The sequence below is a fragment of the Homo sapiens genome, chromosome 4 (assembly GCF_000001405.40).
Source record: "Homo sapiens chromosome 4, GRCh38.p14 Primary Assembly".
NCBI lineage: Eukaryota > Metazoa > Chordata > Mammalia > Primates > Hominidae > Homo > Homo sapiens.
In genome coordinates this window covers 175,658,097-175,672,899 of record NC_000004.12, presented here as the reverse complement: position 1 = coordinate 175,672,899, position 14,803 = coordinate 175,658,097, and the positions used below count along the sequence as shown (strand labels likewise).

Below are 14,803 nucleotides of genomic sequence, written 5' to 3'. Positions count from 1 at the left end.
TTTACCAGCAAACCTTTTTTATTTTAACCTGTTTCTAACACATTTTATTATGCTTCTTGGTGTCAACAGCAACAATAATCTGATAAGATAGTTTGCCTGAGTTGTGGGTATTTGTAGTGGTCTCTGGAATTATTTCTTATAAGAATCATCTGTTTTTAGTTTGGGACAAAACTTATTGTAACACCCAAAGAGATAAAATATATGAGTAGGAGTAAAACTGGAATCCCAATAATGTGACTAAGGGGCTTTAAATTGTGCCTTATTATTGAAATTATTTAAATCAGTAATAGCGAATTATAGATCCAGGGAAACTTAGTTACAGAGAGATATTGGATTGATGAAAAAATAAAATATGACTAATTTGTGGTCCAATTTTCAGTGATGCCCAAGCAATTTCTCCAGTAAAAAGGCAAATTCCGATTTTAAGATTCATTTCCCTTCTGTCAATAGAGTATAGTGAATTGAGTTATATAGTAATTGGCTTTTTATTACAATTGGAACAGTAACATTGTAATGCCACTGGTGTGCCTTGGCAAGTTACTTACCTTTTATGGATCACAGTTTCCTCATTTACAAAATGAGGATCATTTCTAAAGCTTATTCCAGCTCAACGAGTCTGTGATTCTAAAACCCTAACGAAAAAATAAAGAGATAAGGGGGTCTGAAAGCACGTCTTTACCGTAAGGTAATAACCTTCTGCCAGGACGAGTGCAGTCAATTGTGTTATTTCATTCAGAATTTGAAAATAACTTCATAATAAAAAGACAAAGCAATCAAGGAAGAATTGCATATCTATATATAGAGAGAGATGCACTTGGTTATCTGCCTGCCATTCAAGCATCTTAAAGGTATTTCAAATAGGAATTTTCGAAGCAAAACATGAGCCACGTTTTCTTTCTTTCTTTTTTTTTTTTTCTATAATGGTAACAATTGTGTCACCAGTCCCACCCAACAGACCAGAAGGGTGGCAGCAGCTGCTGCGTGGGCTCCTCCAGAGGCAATGCAGCAGGGTGTCAGCCCAGCAAGATGCCCCGCCCACTCCTGTAACACCTCCCTGACACCCCGGAATGAGCAGAGCAGAGACAGGAGTAGGAGCTGCATTCTTCTGCGTTCTGCAGAGACAGCAGAGCAGCGGGTGAGGCTCTGAGCCATACCCTGGCTGTCCCAACACTGCCTTCACGAAGGGGGCTAGCTCCACGACTGAGAAGTAAACAGTGGCGGCTGCAGCCAGCGCTGCAGAACCCTGCCTCCCTTCCCCTCTGCCAACCATTCCTCCACACCCCCACCTCAGCTTGCATATCACGCAGGACTTGTAGCTCCATGAAATCGAGGGGAAAAGAAAGATTTATCGTCCACCCTCTCCTGCTACTTATTTCCACTCTACTGATGCTGCTTTTTTTTTTTTTTTTTTTTTTTTTTTTTCGTTTGTAGGCAGATTGTATCTTACGGTCTACTTTATTATGTTCAAAGTGAACCTGTTAACCTCTTTTGCCTGTGTTCCGTAGCTGTGAATGAGTCTGTGCTTTTGAAGGTACTATATCGGTGCAGCTCTAGTTGGAACACTGAATAATACTAAAGGGTGGATTTTTTTTTTTTGCAACAAGTATATAAAAATCTTCCTTAGTTAATACTAACAGAAATTTGTTATTCTATCCCTGTTTCTCTCTGCTGCATAAAAAGTAAATGGTTACTAATTGAAATTATATCAGCACAAATGCAATTAATTTTGAAGCAGCAGGCCGGGCGTGGTGGCTCACACCTGTAATCCTAGCACTTTGGGAGGCCGAGGCAGGCGGATCACGAGGTTAGGAGTTCGTAGACCAGCATGGTCAACATAGTGAAACCCTGTCTCTACTAAAAATAAAAAAATTAGCCGGGCATGGTGGCAGGCGCCTGTAATTCCAGCTACTTGGGAGGCTGAGGCAGGAGAATCGCTTGAACCCAGGAGGCAGAGGTTGCAGTGAGCCCAGATCGTGCCACTGCACTCCAGCCTGGGCGACAGAGCAAGACTTTGTCTCAAAAAAAAAAAAAAAAAAAATGAAGCAACATTGTATCACTGAATGGAGAGTGATAATCAATATTCCCTTTACTTAATGAATGCCTTTGAAAGCATAACTTGGTCTGCATTCTGTGTTTCCTTTCATGCGGTATCAGCACCAATTCAAGTTCATTACAATATTTTAATGCTATCTGTCATTCAAAATCCAGAATTTGAGGCACGTAAAACCACAATATTAAATTTTGAGGGTGAAAATCATTATTAACGACTTTATTAAAACATTATATGAAAAGTTATTAAAGTATTTTAAGTAACAAAATTTATTTACCTTAAATATTAAATGGCACCAAATTGAGTACAAATACATGTTATTGACTACATTGAACATGACCTTTTTAAGTTTAATGTAGAAGTATTTATTTTCTTTAACCATATTTTCTTATTAAAGTTTAAGCCAAAACATATTTATTCCGCTGCAAATTAGGAGACCTTCAGTGTGTCACATTTTCAAATCTTGAGATATTTTTTGCCCCCATCCCCAATTTTCTTATTTCTACAAATTTCCGATTGCTACTGTGACATCATTATGGATCTCAGAATTTATCTATACTTCTTCTGAAATTTAGATTTTTAAATGCAACACTTTCGAAGTAATAGATTTCCCAAATGTACTAAACTCTATGGAATTTTCAATAAATGTATTTTCCATAAATCTACCTGCTCTAAGAGTTAAATAAAACAATAATAACTTTTGGAAGTGTGTTTACTAGTTTGCTAGGGCTACCACAACAAAGTGCTATAAAGTGGATGGCCTAAACAACAGAAATTCATTGTCTCACAGTTCAGGAAGCTAGAAGTTTGAGACCAAAGTGTCACCGGGTTGATTTTTTTTTTTTCCTGAGGGCTGTAAAGAACACCCGGTTCCATGTTTCTCCCCTACCTTCTGGTTGGCTGCTGGTAATTTTTGGCATCCAGTGGTTTATAGAAGTTTCACCCATCACTGCCTTCACATTCATATGATGTTCTTCCTGCCTGAAAAGCTGTGTCCAAATTTCCCCTTTTTTTATAAGGACAGCAGTCATATGGGAATAGAGCCCACCCTAGTGACCTAATTTTTTACTTTTTCAACTCAGTAAAGAGCAATAAGGTCAATCTCTGAGACACTGGTGGTAGAATTTCATCATATGAATTTTGTGAGGACACAATTCAACTCATAACAGTCTTATGATAACAGTAATGTTCTTCCATATATAAGTTTTAAAGAAACAAAATTAACTAGTTGCTATTGTTACCCTGTTTCAGAGATAAAGAAACATAAAAGGTTGAATATCCTAATCTGAAAATCCCAAATCTGAAATGCTCCAAAATGTGAAACTTTTTGAGCGTCAACGTGATGCTCAAAGGAAATGTTCATTGGAGCATTGCAGATTTGGGGTATTTGGATTTGGGATGTTCAACTGGTAAGTTAATGCAAATATTACAAAACCTAAAAAAAATTTGAAATTCAAAACACTTCTGGCCCTAAGCATTTCAGACAAAGGATTTTCAACCCTTATTCTATTTGTTTAGTTTAAAACATCTGTCTTATTAGCCTCAGGTGTTTGTAGATTTGGCCACAGCATATTAGATTAGTATTTTTAAGACATACTCTGTATAATTATCTTAAAATCTATTCTGTATAACTCACAGCTCCGTTCCATAGCTTAAAATCAAATTTTAGTACTAAGTTTAGTAATAATAATGGGAAATATTTGTTAGGCACTTATATATGCCCATACTATACCTACTATGCTTAATTGTAGGACACTGAATCCTCTGATAAACTATGTCATGTAGATACTAGAATTATCCTCATTTCAGAGATGAAGAAGCTGCCTCCTGGAGAGGATGACTGACTTGCCTGGGGTACATGGTGGGTGATGAAGCCAGATTTGAATTCAAGCATCTGGCACAGAGTCCATGCCGCTAACCTCATGATTAGGGCTTCCCTACCATTTTATGGTTTATTTGAGTTCATTTAATAGGATGGTTATCTGTTTACGAGGGTCTTTTATAACTCAGCAGTCATTTTCTGTTTTGCATCTTAGTAAGATCATTCACTGGTCATTGGAAAGCTCCTTCATTACAGAGATGTCCTCATTTTAATCTTTGCTTTTATCAACAATAACGAATTGTCTCTTTTCACAAATACAAGAATGCTCTGCAGGATGTGAGAGAACTTGGTAGTCTAAGATGCTTTTCTGTGACTAACAGACTTTTTGATGACTAGCTCTAAGGAGGCCTAAGATGAATTTCTAAGTATTGTAAAGAAACTCTGCATTCTAGACTATCCCTAAACTTTAATGCCTTTTAAAATAAACACACACACACACACACACACATAAACGTTTGAATCCTAAACTGTGGGAATAGAATTCCTAGAACAAAGCCTTGCCTCTTTCTAGAAACTTAAGACAACATCATTTTTTTTTCCAGATTTTAACTGGTTTCTCAGCAAGGAAGATTTGGGGGGTGGGGTGTAGGAGGTGTAGACTCCTTCAAACATAGGGGTGATATTTTAAAAAAATGTTTGAAAAACCGTGGCATTGAGGAAGAAGGGCCAGGATTTTATTTGCTGCAAGTATCTGAAGTAGATCTCGTATATCGCTTCAGAACTGAACTCTAAATACTAGGACAGTGGACCAATCTCAGTGTAACTGTTGAGATATTAACTATGCTAGTACATAAATTGTAGGAAGAAATAAATAAGAAAAAATAAAGTTCTTATTTTTTCTGATGTCTAATGTAAAAGTTGAAAGAAATTTTCTGCTAGTCTCATAAGGTGGCATTGATAAAATAGAAAACTGTGTAAAGCATCTAGTTTAGATTTTAAAATACAAGAGACTTACAACAGCCAGAAATGGAAAATTGATAAAAAGTTTGCAACATGTGGATGCTTCTCAGATCACCATAAGTTGTGACTGAAATTCAATTAAAATAAAAATAACTTCTCAAAATGTTCAACATTTTATTTTGTTTATATCTGTTTGTTTTTGATTTTTTAGATTATTCAAGTCATGATATATACTCTTTGGCCAAAACTTAAAAAAAATTTGTATATTCTCCTATCAGATTGTTCTAGGATATAATGTTATATAATTTGTGACTGCCTACATTTTTATAATCCTAAAGTAATTTTTAAATAAACATTTTATTTTGGAATAATTTTAGATTTACAGAAAGGTAAAGACGGTACAGTTCCATATATACCAAACCTAGTCTGCCCTGTGACTGACACTCTACTTTAATATGGTATATTTGCTACAATTAATGAACCAATAGTGATACACTATTGTTAACTAAAAGTCCATGCTTCTTTCTGATTTCCTTAGTTTTTGTAAAATGTTCTTTTCCTGTTTCAGTATCCCATTCGGGATACCATATTACATTTAATTGTCCCTCCTTAGACTACTAAGAACTACAACATTTTCTAAGACTTTCATTGTTTTCAAAGGCCTTGGCAGTTTTAAGGAGTATTGGCTGAGTAATACATTTTGTAAATGCACTTTGGCTGTAATTTGATGTTTTTCTCATGATTAGATTGGGGTTTTGAGTTATGAGGAGGAAGGTTACAGAGATAAAGTGTCTTTCTCATCACATCATATCAAGGCTGTCTAAAATACTTTTACTGAAAAAGAAAAACTAAACACATGAAATGACACATTATCTGACCCATGCTTTCCTAAACAAAGTAGTTCTACTAAAAATAATTACATAAAGAATTTATTTTATGATAAACATCCTGTATATAGAAGGTTAATACTCTATGGCTCTCTATTTTGTTTTTACAGAATACTTAAAACCTTGAAGTTTCTAACTTTGTTAATATAAAATTAAATTGTAGAATGTGATGCCCTCTAAAAAGTTTAGGGAAATATCTCCATAACGTATGAATTTCTAATTTCTACTTACAAATATACTATAGTTTAAATGAAGGCATCTGCAGGTTTAGGTTTTTCAATCAAATTTTGCAATAAAGCCAGGAATTAATCTCAAGGATAGCAAATGCTCAGCCTCAACTTTTTAGACTTGATGGCTCCCAAGGTAACAATCTGGATACATTCATTCACATTAACTGTTGTCATCAATGTGATTAGCTCAATATTACACATTCAGGTGACACTCGACAAGGAAAATATGGTTGTAAAATTGGCTAATTCCAGCTCAACTACCCTTCCAGTATGCCAGATAGTTTCAAACATGTAATAGTTATTATTAAAATAGACCACTAGAGTAAGGATGAAATAATAACCACAGACTATTAATGGTCTTTTAAAGAACTGATAGGTTGATGAGTGCCTCTATTTTTCAACCAGAAATCGTATGCCTACTGTACTGGGAAAAATCTTTATGCAAAGATATTGAAAAATTATTTTCAGAAAAAACTCAAGAGCTACATTTTTTTTGACTCTGCCTTTCAATCAATAACATTTTACAAAAGATATCGCTTCACAACATATTGAGACTCCATTTCTTTATCTCTGTTTCTCATTTTGAGATTAACCACTACTATAGTTTATATTTTAAGGTTGCTTTATGGGGAAACTAAGTATTTTGAGGGTATTAAAGTTAAATGTTCACTGAAGAATTAGTAAGACTAGCATTATTGTATTGGGAACACGGGTCAAAAGTACATTTCTCAGTCCGGGCACAGTGGCTCACGCATGTAATCCCAGCATTCTGGGAGACCGAGGCAGGTGGATCACCTAAGGGCTGGAGATCGAGACCAGCCTGGCCAACATGGTGAAACCCCTTCTCTACTAAAAAATACGAAAATTAGCCAGGCGTGGTGGTGGGCACCTGTAATCCCAGCTACTCGGGAAGCTAAGGCAGGAGAATTGCTTGAACCTGGGAGGTGGAGGTTGCAGTGAGCCGAGATCATGCCATTGCACTCCAGCCTGGGTGACTGAGTGAGACTCTGTCTCAAAAAAAAAAAAAAAGTACATTTTTCAGACATTTACAGTATCACTGATATTAAAATTATATTATATTGTTAGTACTCACCAAATGGAAATTTCCTTTGCAGTAATATTTGCTGGAAAAAATGTATATTCTACTAAGATGATGCCTTTTTTTTTTTAAATGGAGTTTTGCTCTTGTTGCCCAGGCTGGAGTGCAGTGGCATGATCTCTGCTCACTGTCACCTCCACCTCCTGGGTTCAAACGATTCTCCGGCTTCAGCCTCCTGAGTAGCTGGGATCATGGGCGCACCACCACACCAGGCTAACCTTTGTGTTTTTGGTAGACATAGGTTTTCATCATGTTGGTCAGGCTGGTCTCAAACACCTCCTGCCCTCAGGTGATCCGCCCGCCTCAGTCTCCCAAAGTGCTGGGATTACAGGCTTGAGCCACCACCACGGCCGTCCAATGCTTTTATTTTTTATATAATTTGACTTTATTTGAATTTTGTTTTCAATTGAAAAAATAAAATCTCTGGCTCGATTTTATTTTTTTTTAAGGATCTGTTACACGGATTGATGTGTCATCCTGAGTTATGAGGATTCATCAAGAAACAAAACAGAATCCCTATCCCTCGGGAGTCCCTAGTATAGTCAGAATACATGGGAGACTTGTACATGAAGACATGCATGCTATACATATTGATGAACATGCAAATAGCTTACAGTGTTTGCACGGAGAGAAGGGATTAAAGTCTGTGATAAAGAAGTGTTGACTAGTAGACACCTAAGGCCTAGTACAGTACACATTGTGGGCACACAGGACATTTTAATTACAGTGATGCACCCCCTAATGTGTTCATCAGTGCTGAACCACGTGTCAGAGGGTGGTCCTGTAGGCTTTCAATACCATATTTTTACTGTACTTTTTCTATGGTTAGATATGTTTAGAGACACAAATACTTACCATCCTGTTACAGTTGCCTCCAGCATTTGGTATAGTAACATGCTGTGTAGATTTACGGCCTGAGAACAATAGGCTATACCATGTAGCATAGGTTTGTAGTAGGCTACACATCTAGGTTTGTGTAAGTATATATTAGGATGTTTGTACAAAGACTAAATTGCCTAATGATGAATTTCTCAAAATGAATTCCTTTCTTTAAAGGATGTATAACTCTATTAACAAATTAGTGAGTAAAAGGGGCTCTTGATCTTGGGTTGGGAGGATAGAACGAACTTCTACAAGTAACCCAGAAGATGTGAAGTAGAATGAAATACATAGAGGACTGCAGTCATCCGTGTGCTAGATCAGGATGGAGAGGTTAAGTAGATGCAAAACTCTGATGCGTCATGTAAATCTTGAAGTATATGAACATGATTTGTTGAGTGGATGAGACCAATGCAAGATAATAAAGAAGAAAGTATTGCAGTTAGTTTTTAAAAGTTAACTTTATTTTTTAGAGCAATTTTAAATTGGCAGCAATATTGAACAGAAGGTACATAGGCTCACATATACTCCTTTTTCTTACATATGTGCAGCCTCCCCTCCTATTAAAATCCCTCACCAGAGTGGTACATTTGTTACAATCAACAAACCTACATTGACACATCATCACCCAAAGTCCACAGTTTAAATCAGGGTTTATTCTTGGTGTTGTACATTCTATGGGTTTGGACAAACGTATAATGTTGTGTATCAACCATTACAGTATCACACAGAGTGTTTCACTGCCCTGAAAATCCTCTGTGCTCCACCCATTCATCCCTCCCTCACCCCCAACCCCTATAGACAGCTGATTCTTTTACTGTCTCCACAGTTTGTCTTTCCCAGAAAGTCATAGTTGGAATCATGTAGTATATAGCTTTTTCAGATTGGCTTCTTTCACTTAGCAATATGCATTTAAGGTTCCTCCGCATCATTTCATGGCTTTATGGCACAATTTGTTCTTTTTAAAAATATTTATATTTTGGCTGGGCACGGTGGCTCATGCCTGTACTCCCAGCACCTTGGGAAGCTGAGGTGGGCGGATCACAAGCTCAGGAGATAGAGACCATCTTGGCTAACACAGTGAAATCCCGTTTCTACTAAGAATACAAAAATTAGCCGGGCGTAGTGGCGGGCGCCTGTAGTCCCAGCTACTTGGGAGGCTGAGGCAGGAGAATGGCGTGAACCCAGGACGTGGAGCTTGCAGTGAGCCGAGACTGCGCCACTGCACTCCAGCCTGGGCGACAAAGCGAGACTCCATCTCAAAAAAAAAAAAAAAAATTTACATTTTACCAATTGATTGATTGATTGATTTAAATTGACAAGTAAAAGTTGTATATATTTATTTTGTACCACATATTGGTTTCAAATATGTATACATTGTGGAAAGGCTAAATCAAGCTAATTGATAAACGCATTACCTCACATGGTTTTTTGTATTGAGAACACTTAAAACCTACTCTCTTAACCATTTTCAAGAATACAACACACTGTTATTAACTATAGCGACCATGTTGTACAATAGACCTCTTAACTTATTCCTTCTAACTGAAACCTTGTGTGCTTTGACCAGTATCTCTCCCCAAACCCCATCACCTCCAGCTCACTTCTTTTTAGCATGGACTAACATTCCATTGTCCAGATGTACCAAGGTTTATTTATCCATTCACCTACTGAGAAACATCTTGGTTACTTCCAAGTTTCGGCAGTTAGCAAAATGCTTTAAACGTCTGTGTGCAGGTTTTTCTGTGGACATCAGTTTTCAACTCATTCAAGTAAATATCAGAGAGTTGATGGCAGGATTATATGGCAACAGTATGGTTAGTTTTGTAATGCATTGCCAAAGCTGCTGTACCATTTTGCATTCCCATAAAAAATATGTGAGAGATCCTACATTGTAATTAGTTTTGCGCTTTAGAAAAATTCTTCTGATTAAAAGTAAAGGCTGGATTGAAGAGGAAAAATGTTTGAGGTAGGGAAAATTTATATTTTTTACTCTGTCACTTATGTTCTTATTACTTAATGATTTTATATATAGTTATTTCACTACCATGTTTGCTTCCAATTGTATAAGCAGTGATTTTTTTTTAAACTTTCTATATTTTAATTTGGCCATGTCATTTCTAAGTTAATATGATTTGTTTTCTAGCTGCTATTTTGGGTGCCCTATTTAGAAATCATCCTGATAGAATCTTCTTGGGTTTTTCATATCTATCTATCCATATATCTATATCTATAGATATATATCTGTATATTGCTCTTCCTACCTGTTAGATAGGTAAATGTCTAAATATTTACCTAATATTTACCTAATAACCTAAATATTTAAATACCTGCTAAATGTGTTTTTTTCTTTGGTTTTGTTTTTGGGTTTTTTTGAGACAGTCTCCTTCTGTTGCCCAGGCTGGAGTGCAGTGGTGCGATCTCGGCTCACTGCAATCTCCGCCTCCCAGGTTCAAGTGATTCTCCTGCCTCAGCCTCCCTAGTAGCTGGGATTACAGACACAAACCACCATGCCTGGCTAATTTTTGTATTTTAAGTAGAGATGGGGTTTCACCATGTTGGCCAGGCTGGTCTTGAACTCCTGACCTCAGGTGATCCACCCACCTCAGCCTCTGAAAGTGCCGGGATTACAGGTGTGAGCCACCGAGCCTGGCCTAGCTAAATATGGTTTTAAGTGAGAAAGAAAGCGAAGCACTAGTTGAAAGTGTGTGCGAGGTGGTATGCAGGCAAGAGGGTGTGCTCCTGTAATCACTCCCTTCCGTCAAAACCCCCAGTATATTATACAGGGAGGTAGAATCACACTGTGGCATATATTTAGATATTTTCTTTGGTATGCCTCATTCCATTGACAATCATAATAATATTAAATATGCCTGTCATTGTTTTGTTTAATTGCTTTCTGTGGTTCTTTAAAATTTTTCCTATCACAAACCTGGATGTAATTTTTTTTAAAAAAATTTATCATTTCAGTCTATATAGTTCTGTTTTATTTCTATTGAATGTGCCAAAAAGTATTCAAGTAGCATTTTTTTAACATTTTTAAATATTTGAAGTTCTGACTCAATGATAATCTCTCAGCAGATTGACACACGTATATGATATATGTGGTGTTCTCCTGGATTTTGATAAAGCTTATAATTTCCTTTACATGATCAATTTTAAGAGCTATTTTTGTGTTATAATTTCACATATAAATTATGTCCTGTATGTTGTCATTTGGTAGAAAAACAGACATATTCTCAATGGTCTGAAACATGTCTCACTTCATCCCAGGACAATGATATGAAGAGATGTACCAACATTTATTTCCAAGACTTTTTCTGGTCTTGCGCAACTTTCTGAAGGTCACAATGGAGGGGCTGATTTAAAGAGCAAAAACTCACATGCTGGTTTAGGGATCATATGCTTTCAAACAATGGAAACACCTTTAAAACAATAATTACATTTTAGCATGGCCTTCTTCATTGCTCCTTTTCAAGTTTAAAAATGAAAACTAACATCCTCAGTGACTTTCAGTGACTTTTTTTTTTTTTTTTTTGAGACAGAGTCTCACTCTGTCATCCAGGCTGGAGTGCAATGGTGTGATCTCAGCTCACTGAAACCTCCACCTCCTGGGTTCAAGTGATTCTCCTGGCTCAGCCTCCCAAGTAGCTGGAATTACAGGAGCCCTGCCACCACACCTGGCTAATTTTTATGTTTTTAGTAGAGACGGGGTTTCGCCATTTCATCTGAAATTAAATGCCCGTCAAGGAATGCATACTGGTTATCACTCACTTCTAATGAAATTATATTTTTCTTTGATATTGAGATATATTCAATGTGTCAACATTGTTTAAATTCTCCATCTGACTTAGAAAGATAACATTCTAGTGTTTTTATCAGAGTTATATATACATTTATTATGTATACACCAAGTATATACTGATTGCACAATTAAATGTATTCAGGGTTTGCATGTAAATCTGATATCTTAATTTTTTTGGTTACTTAGCCAAATATTTTAAAATGAAAGTTAGAATAACCAAGGTAGAAAAGTCCATAATAATTGTTCATCAGTGGCAGAATTACCTTACTTGCAGGGGTGGTAGTAAAAAGTGTCACACTGTCAACCTAAGTGAGAAAATATAGCCATAGCTAGAATTTTTCTTCCACATAAATCAGACCAGCATATGCATTCAATGACAGTTTACTTGATTTTTTTTGCTTCTTCATTCTAATTTTTGTTAATTTTAATTTGAGGAAGAAGAAGCAAGACCCTTGTTAACAGGGGAATTTGAGTAGTTTTAGCTCACCCGTGGTTACCCTGTTTTATTAAGTAATAGCAACACTTTCTTTTTGTGTTTTTTAAAAAATTGTGATTATATTAGTGTACACTTTTTCCAGCAATATTTTTGTTATTTTTTAGCAACATATTTCCTTTATTCAGCATTATATTTCTAAGAAAATATTTACAAGCCAAGAGTATGTCTAGTGTTTCTATTTTTTCACATAATATATTAAAATTTTCAACACATGAATTCATATATTTATCATTAGTGCCATACTTGGTTGTAGACAACTTTTATGTCCATATACTTCTTTTTTTTTTTGAGATGGAGTCTTGCTCTCTCACCCAGGCTGGAGTACAATGGCACAATCTCGGCTCACTGAAACCTCTGCCTCCCAGATTCAAGTGATTCTCCTGCCTCAGCCTCCTGAGTAGCTGGGATTACATGCCCGGCTAATTTTTGTATTTTTAGTAGAGACGGGGTTTCAACATGTTGGTCAGGCTGGTCTTGAACTCCTGACCTCGTGATCCACCTGCCTCGGCCTCCCAAATTGCTGGGATTACAGGTGTGAACCATCGCACCCAGCCTATATACTTTTTTTTAATTTTGCTCTCCCCCAAAATCTTTTACTTGTCCTCATCTTTTCCAACAAATGAGGAATCATCATCTTGTAAAATCTTGAGATTTGTCAGTTTAAAAATGACATTTAACGTCAATACTGTATTATTGTGAACAGTTGCCTTTTATTTGTCATATTTTTATTTTTAGTTATCAGTTAATGTATCAAAACCCAATAAATCATAATGATAAACACATGGTAAGATATATTTCCTCACAAGACAAACCTTACATTCACACTATTGTTCATTCAACAGATGTTTGTTGAGTGTCTACTGTGTCCCAGGCACTATTTTGAGCCTTAGAGATAAGCAGTAAGTAAAACAGACAGAAAGTTGAATATATTTCCCCATCTAAGCACAAGAGCTCATGCTCTGATTTCTATTAATTTTAACTGGTAATAAAATAACTCTGGATAATATGACATGATAAACTTATCAAGAGTGTGCTTGCCTTTCTATTGCAATTTTCATGACTATCATTTTGGGGCTTTAGACATTATGTAAACCTGTTCCATTTAAAAAATAAATTTATGGAACATAATAATCCAGTTTTGGTTATGTTATTTTTCTCTTAACTATTTTTAAAAAAGGACATTGAATACTTTCAATACTCTTTTACCTTCTGCAAAGTAACAATACATAGTAATACTGTATTTGTTATTTCAATGGGCTATTTTTATTTTACTCTTTAAAAAAAGGTATCTCCGCCAAGTGCAGTGGCTTACTCCTGTAATCCCAGAACTTTTGGAGGCCAAGGTGGGCGGATTGCCTGAGCTCAGGAGTTTGTGACCAGCCTGGGCAACATGGTGAAACCGCGTCTCTACTACACAAAAAATTAGCCATGTGCTGCGGCGTGCACCTGTAGTCCCAGCTACTCTAGAGGCTGAGGCAAGAGAGTCGCTTGAACCCGGGAGGAGGAGGTTGCAGTGAGCCGAGATCATGCCAACTGCACTCCAGCCTGGGCCACAGAGTGAGACTTTGTCTCAAAAAAAAAAAAAGGAAAACAAAAACAAAAACAATTTATCTCATATGACAGGATTTAAGATTTTCTTCCTCTATATCTAAGGTAACATATTTTCAGCCCTTACACTCACTGCCTGAAGATTCTCTGTAGCTTTATCTCTGTAGCTCAGTGTAGGAAACCAGACTGTTTCACAGATCATTTTATTCTGATGAAATCATCCTTGCCAATTGAGATTGAAGTATTTAATCATTTCACAGTGACACTGGTGATTTTTATGAACCAAACCACACAGTGAACACTTAGATCGTATTAACATTTCACATATGCTCATGAATAAATTCCTCAAATCATTTTTTGTTATATAAATAGATTTTATATTTTAGAACCGTTTTAGGTTTCACAGCAAAATTGAGGAGAAAGTACAGGGATTTCTTACATAGCCCCCTCCCCAGCAAGTGGATAGACTCCCGTTATCACTACCTCACCACCACCAGAATGGCACATTTACAATTGATGTATCTACATTGACACATCACAATTGCCCAAAGTCTACAATTTAGATGAGGATTTTCTCTGGGTGTTGCACATTCTTTGGGTTTTGCCAAATGTATAATGACACGTATCCACCATTATACTTTCATACAGAATAGTTTCACGGTTCTACAAATCCTCTGTGCTCCACCTATTCAGCCCTCTCACCCCCCCTACACTTGGCAACCACTGATCTTTTTACTGTCTCCATACTTTTTCTTTTTCCAGAATGTCATAGAGCTGAAACTACACAGTAAGTGAATGACCTTTTCAGATTGTTTTTTTTTTTTCAGTCATATGCATTTAAAATTTCTGCATGTCTTTTCATAGCTTGATAGCTCATTTCTTTTTAGTGCTGATTAATATACCATCGTTTATCTAGATGTGCTGGGGTTTATATATCTGTTTATCTACTGAAGGACATTTTGGCTTCTTCCAAGTTTGGGCAATTTTGAATAAAGTTGTTATAAGCGTAACAAATCACTTAAAAAGA

The 14,803-nt window shown here is 36.4% G+C and overlaps 1 protein-coding gene across 8 annotated transcripts in view; it reads left to right on the top strand.

Moving 5' to 3' along the window:
- The window catches only part of GPM6A (glycoprotein M6A), a 369,457-nt gene that overhangs the window by 329,494 nt on the left and 25,160 nt on the right, over nt 1-14,803 (top strand). The window lies entirely within an intron of this gene.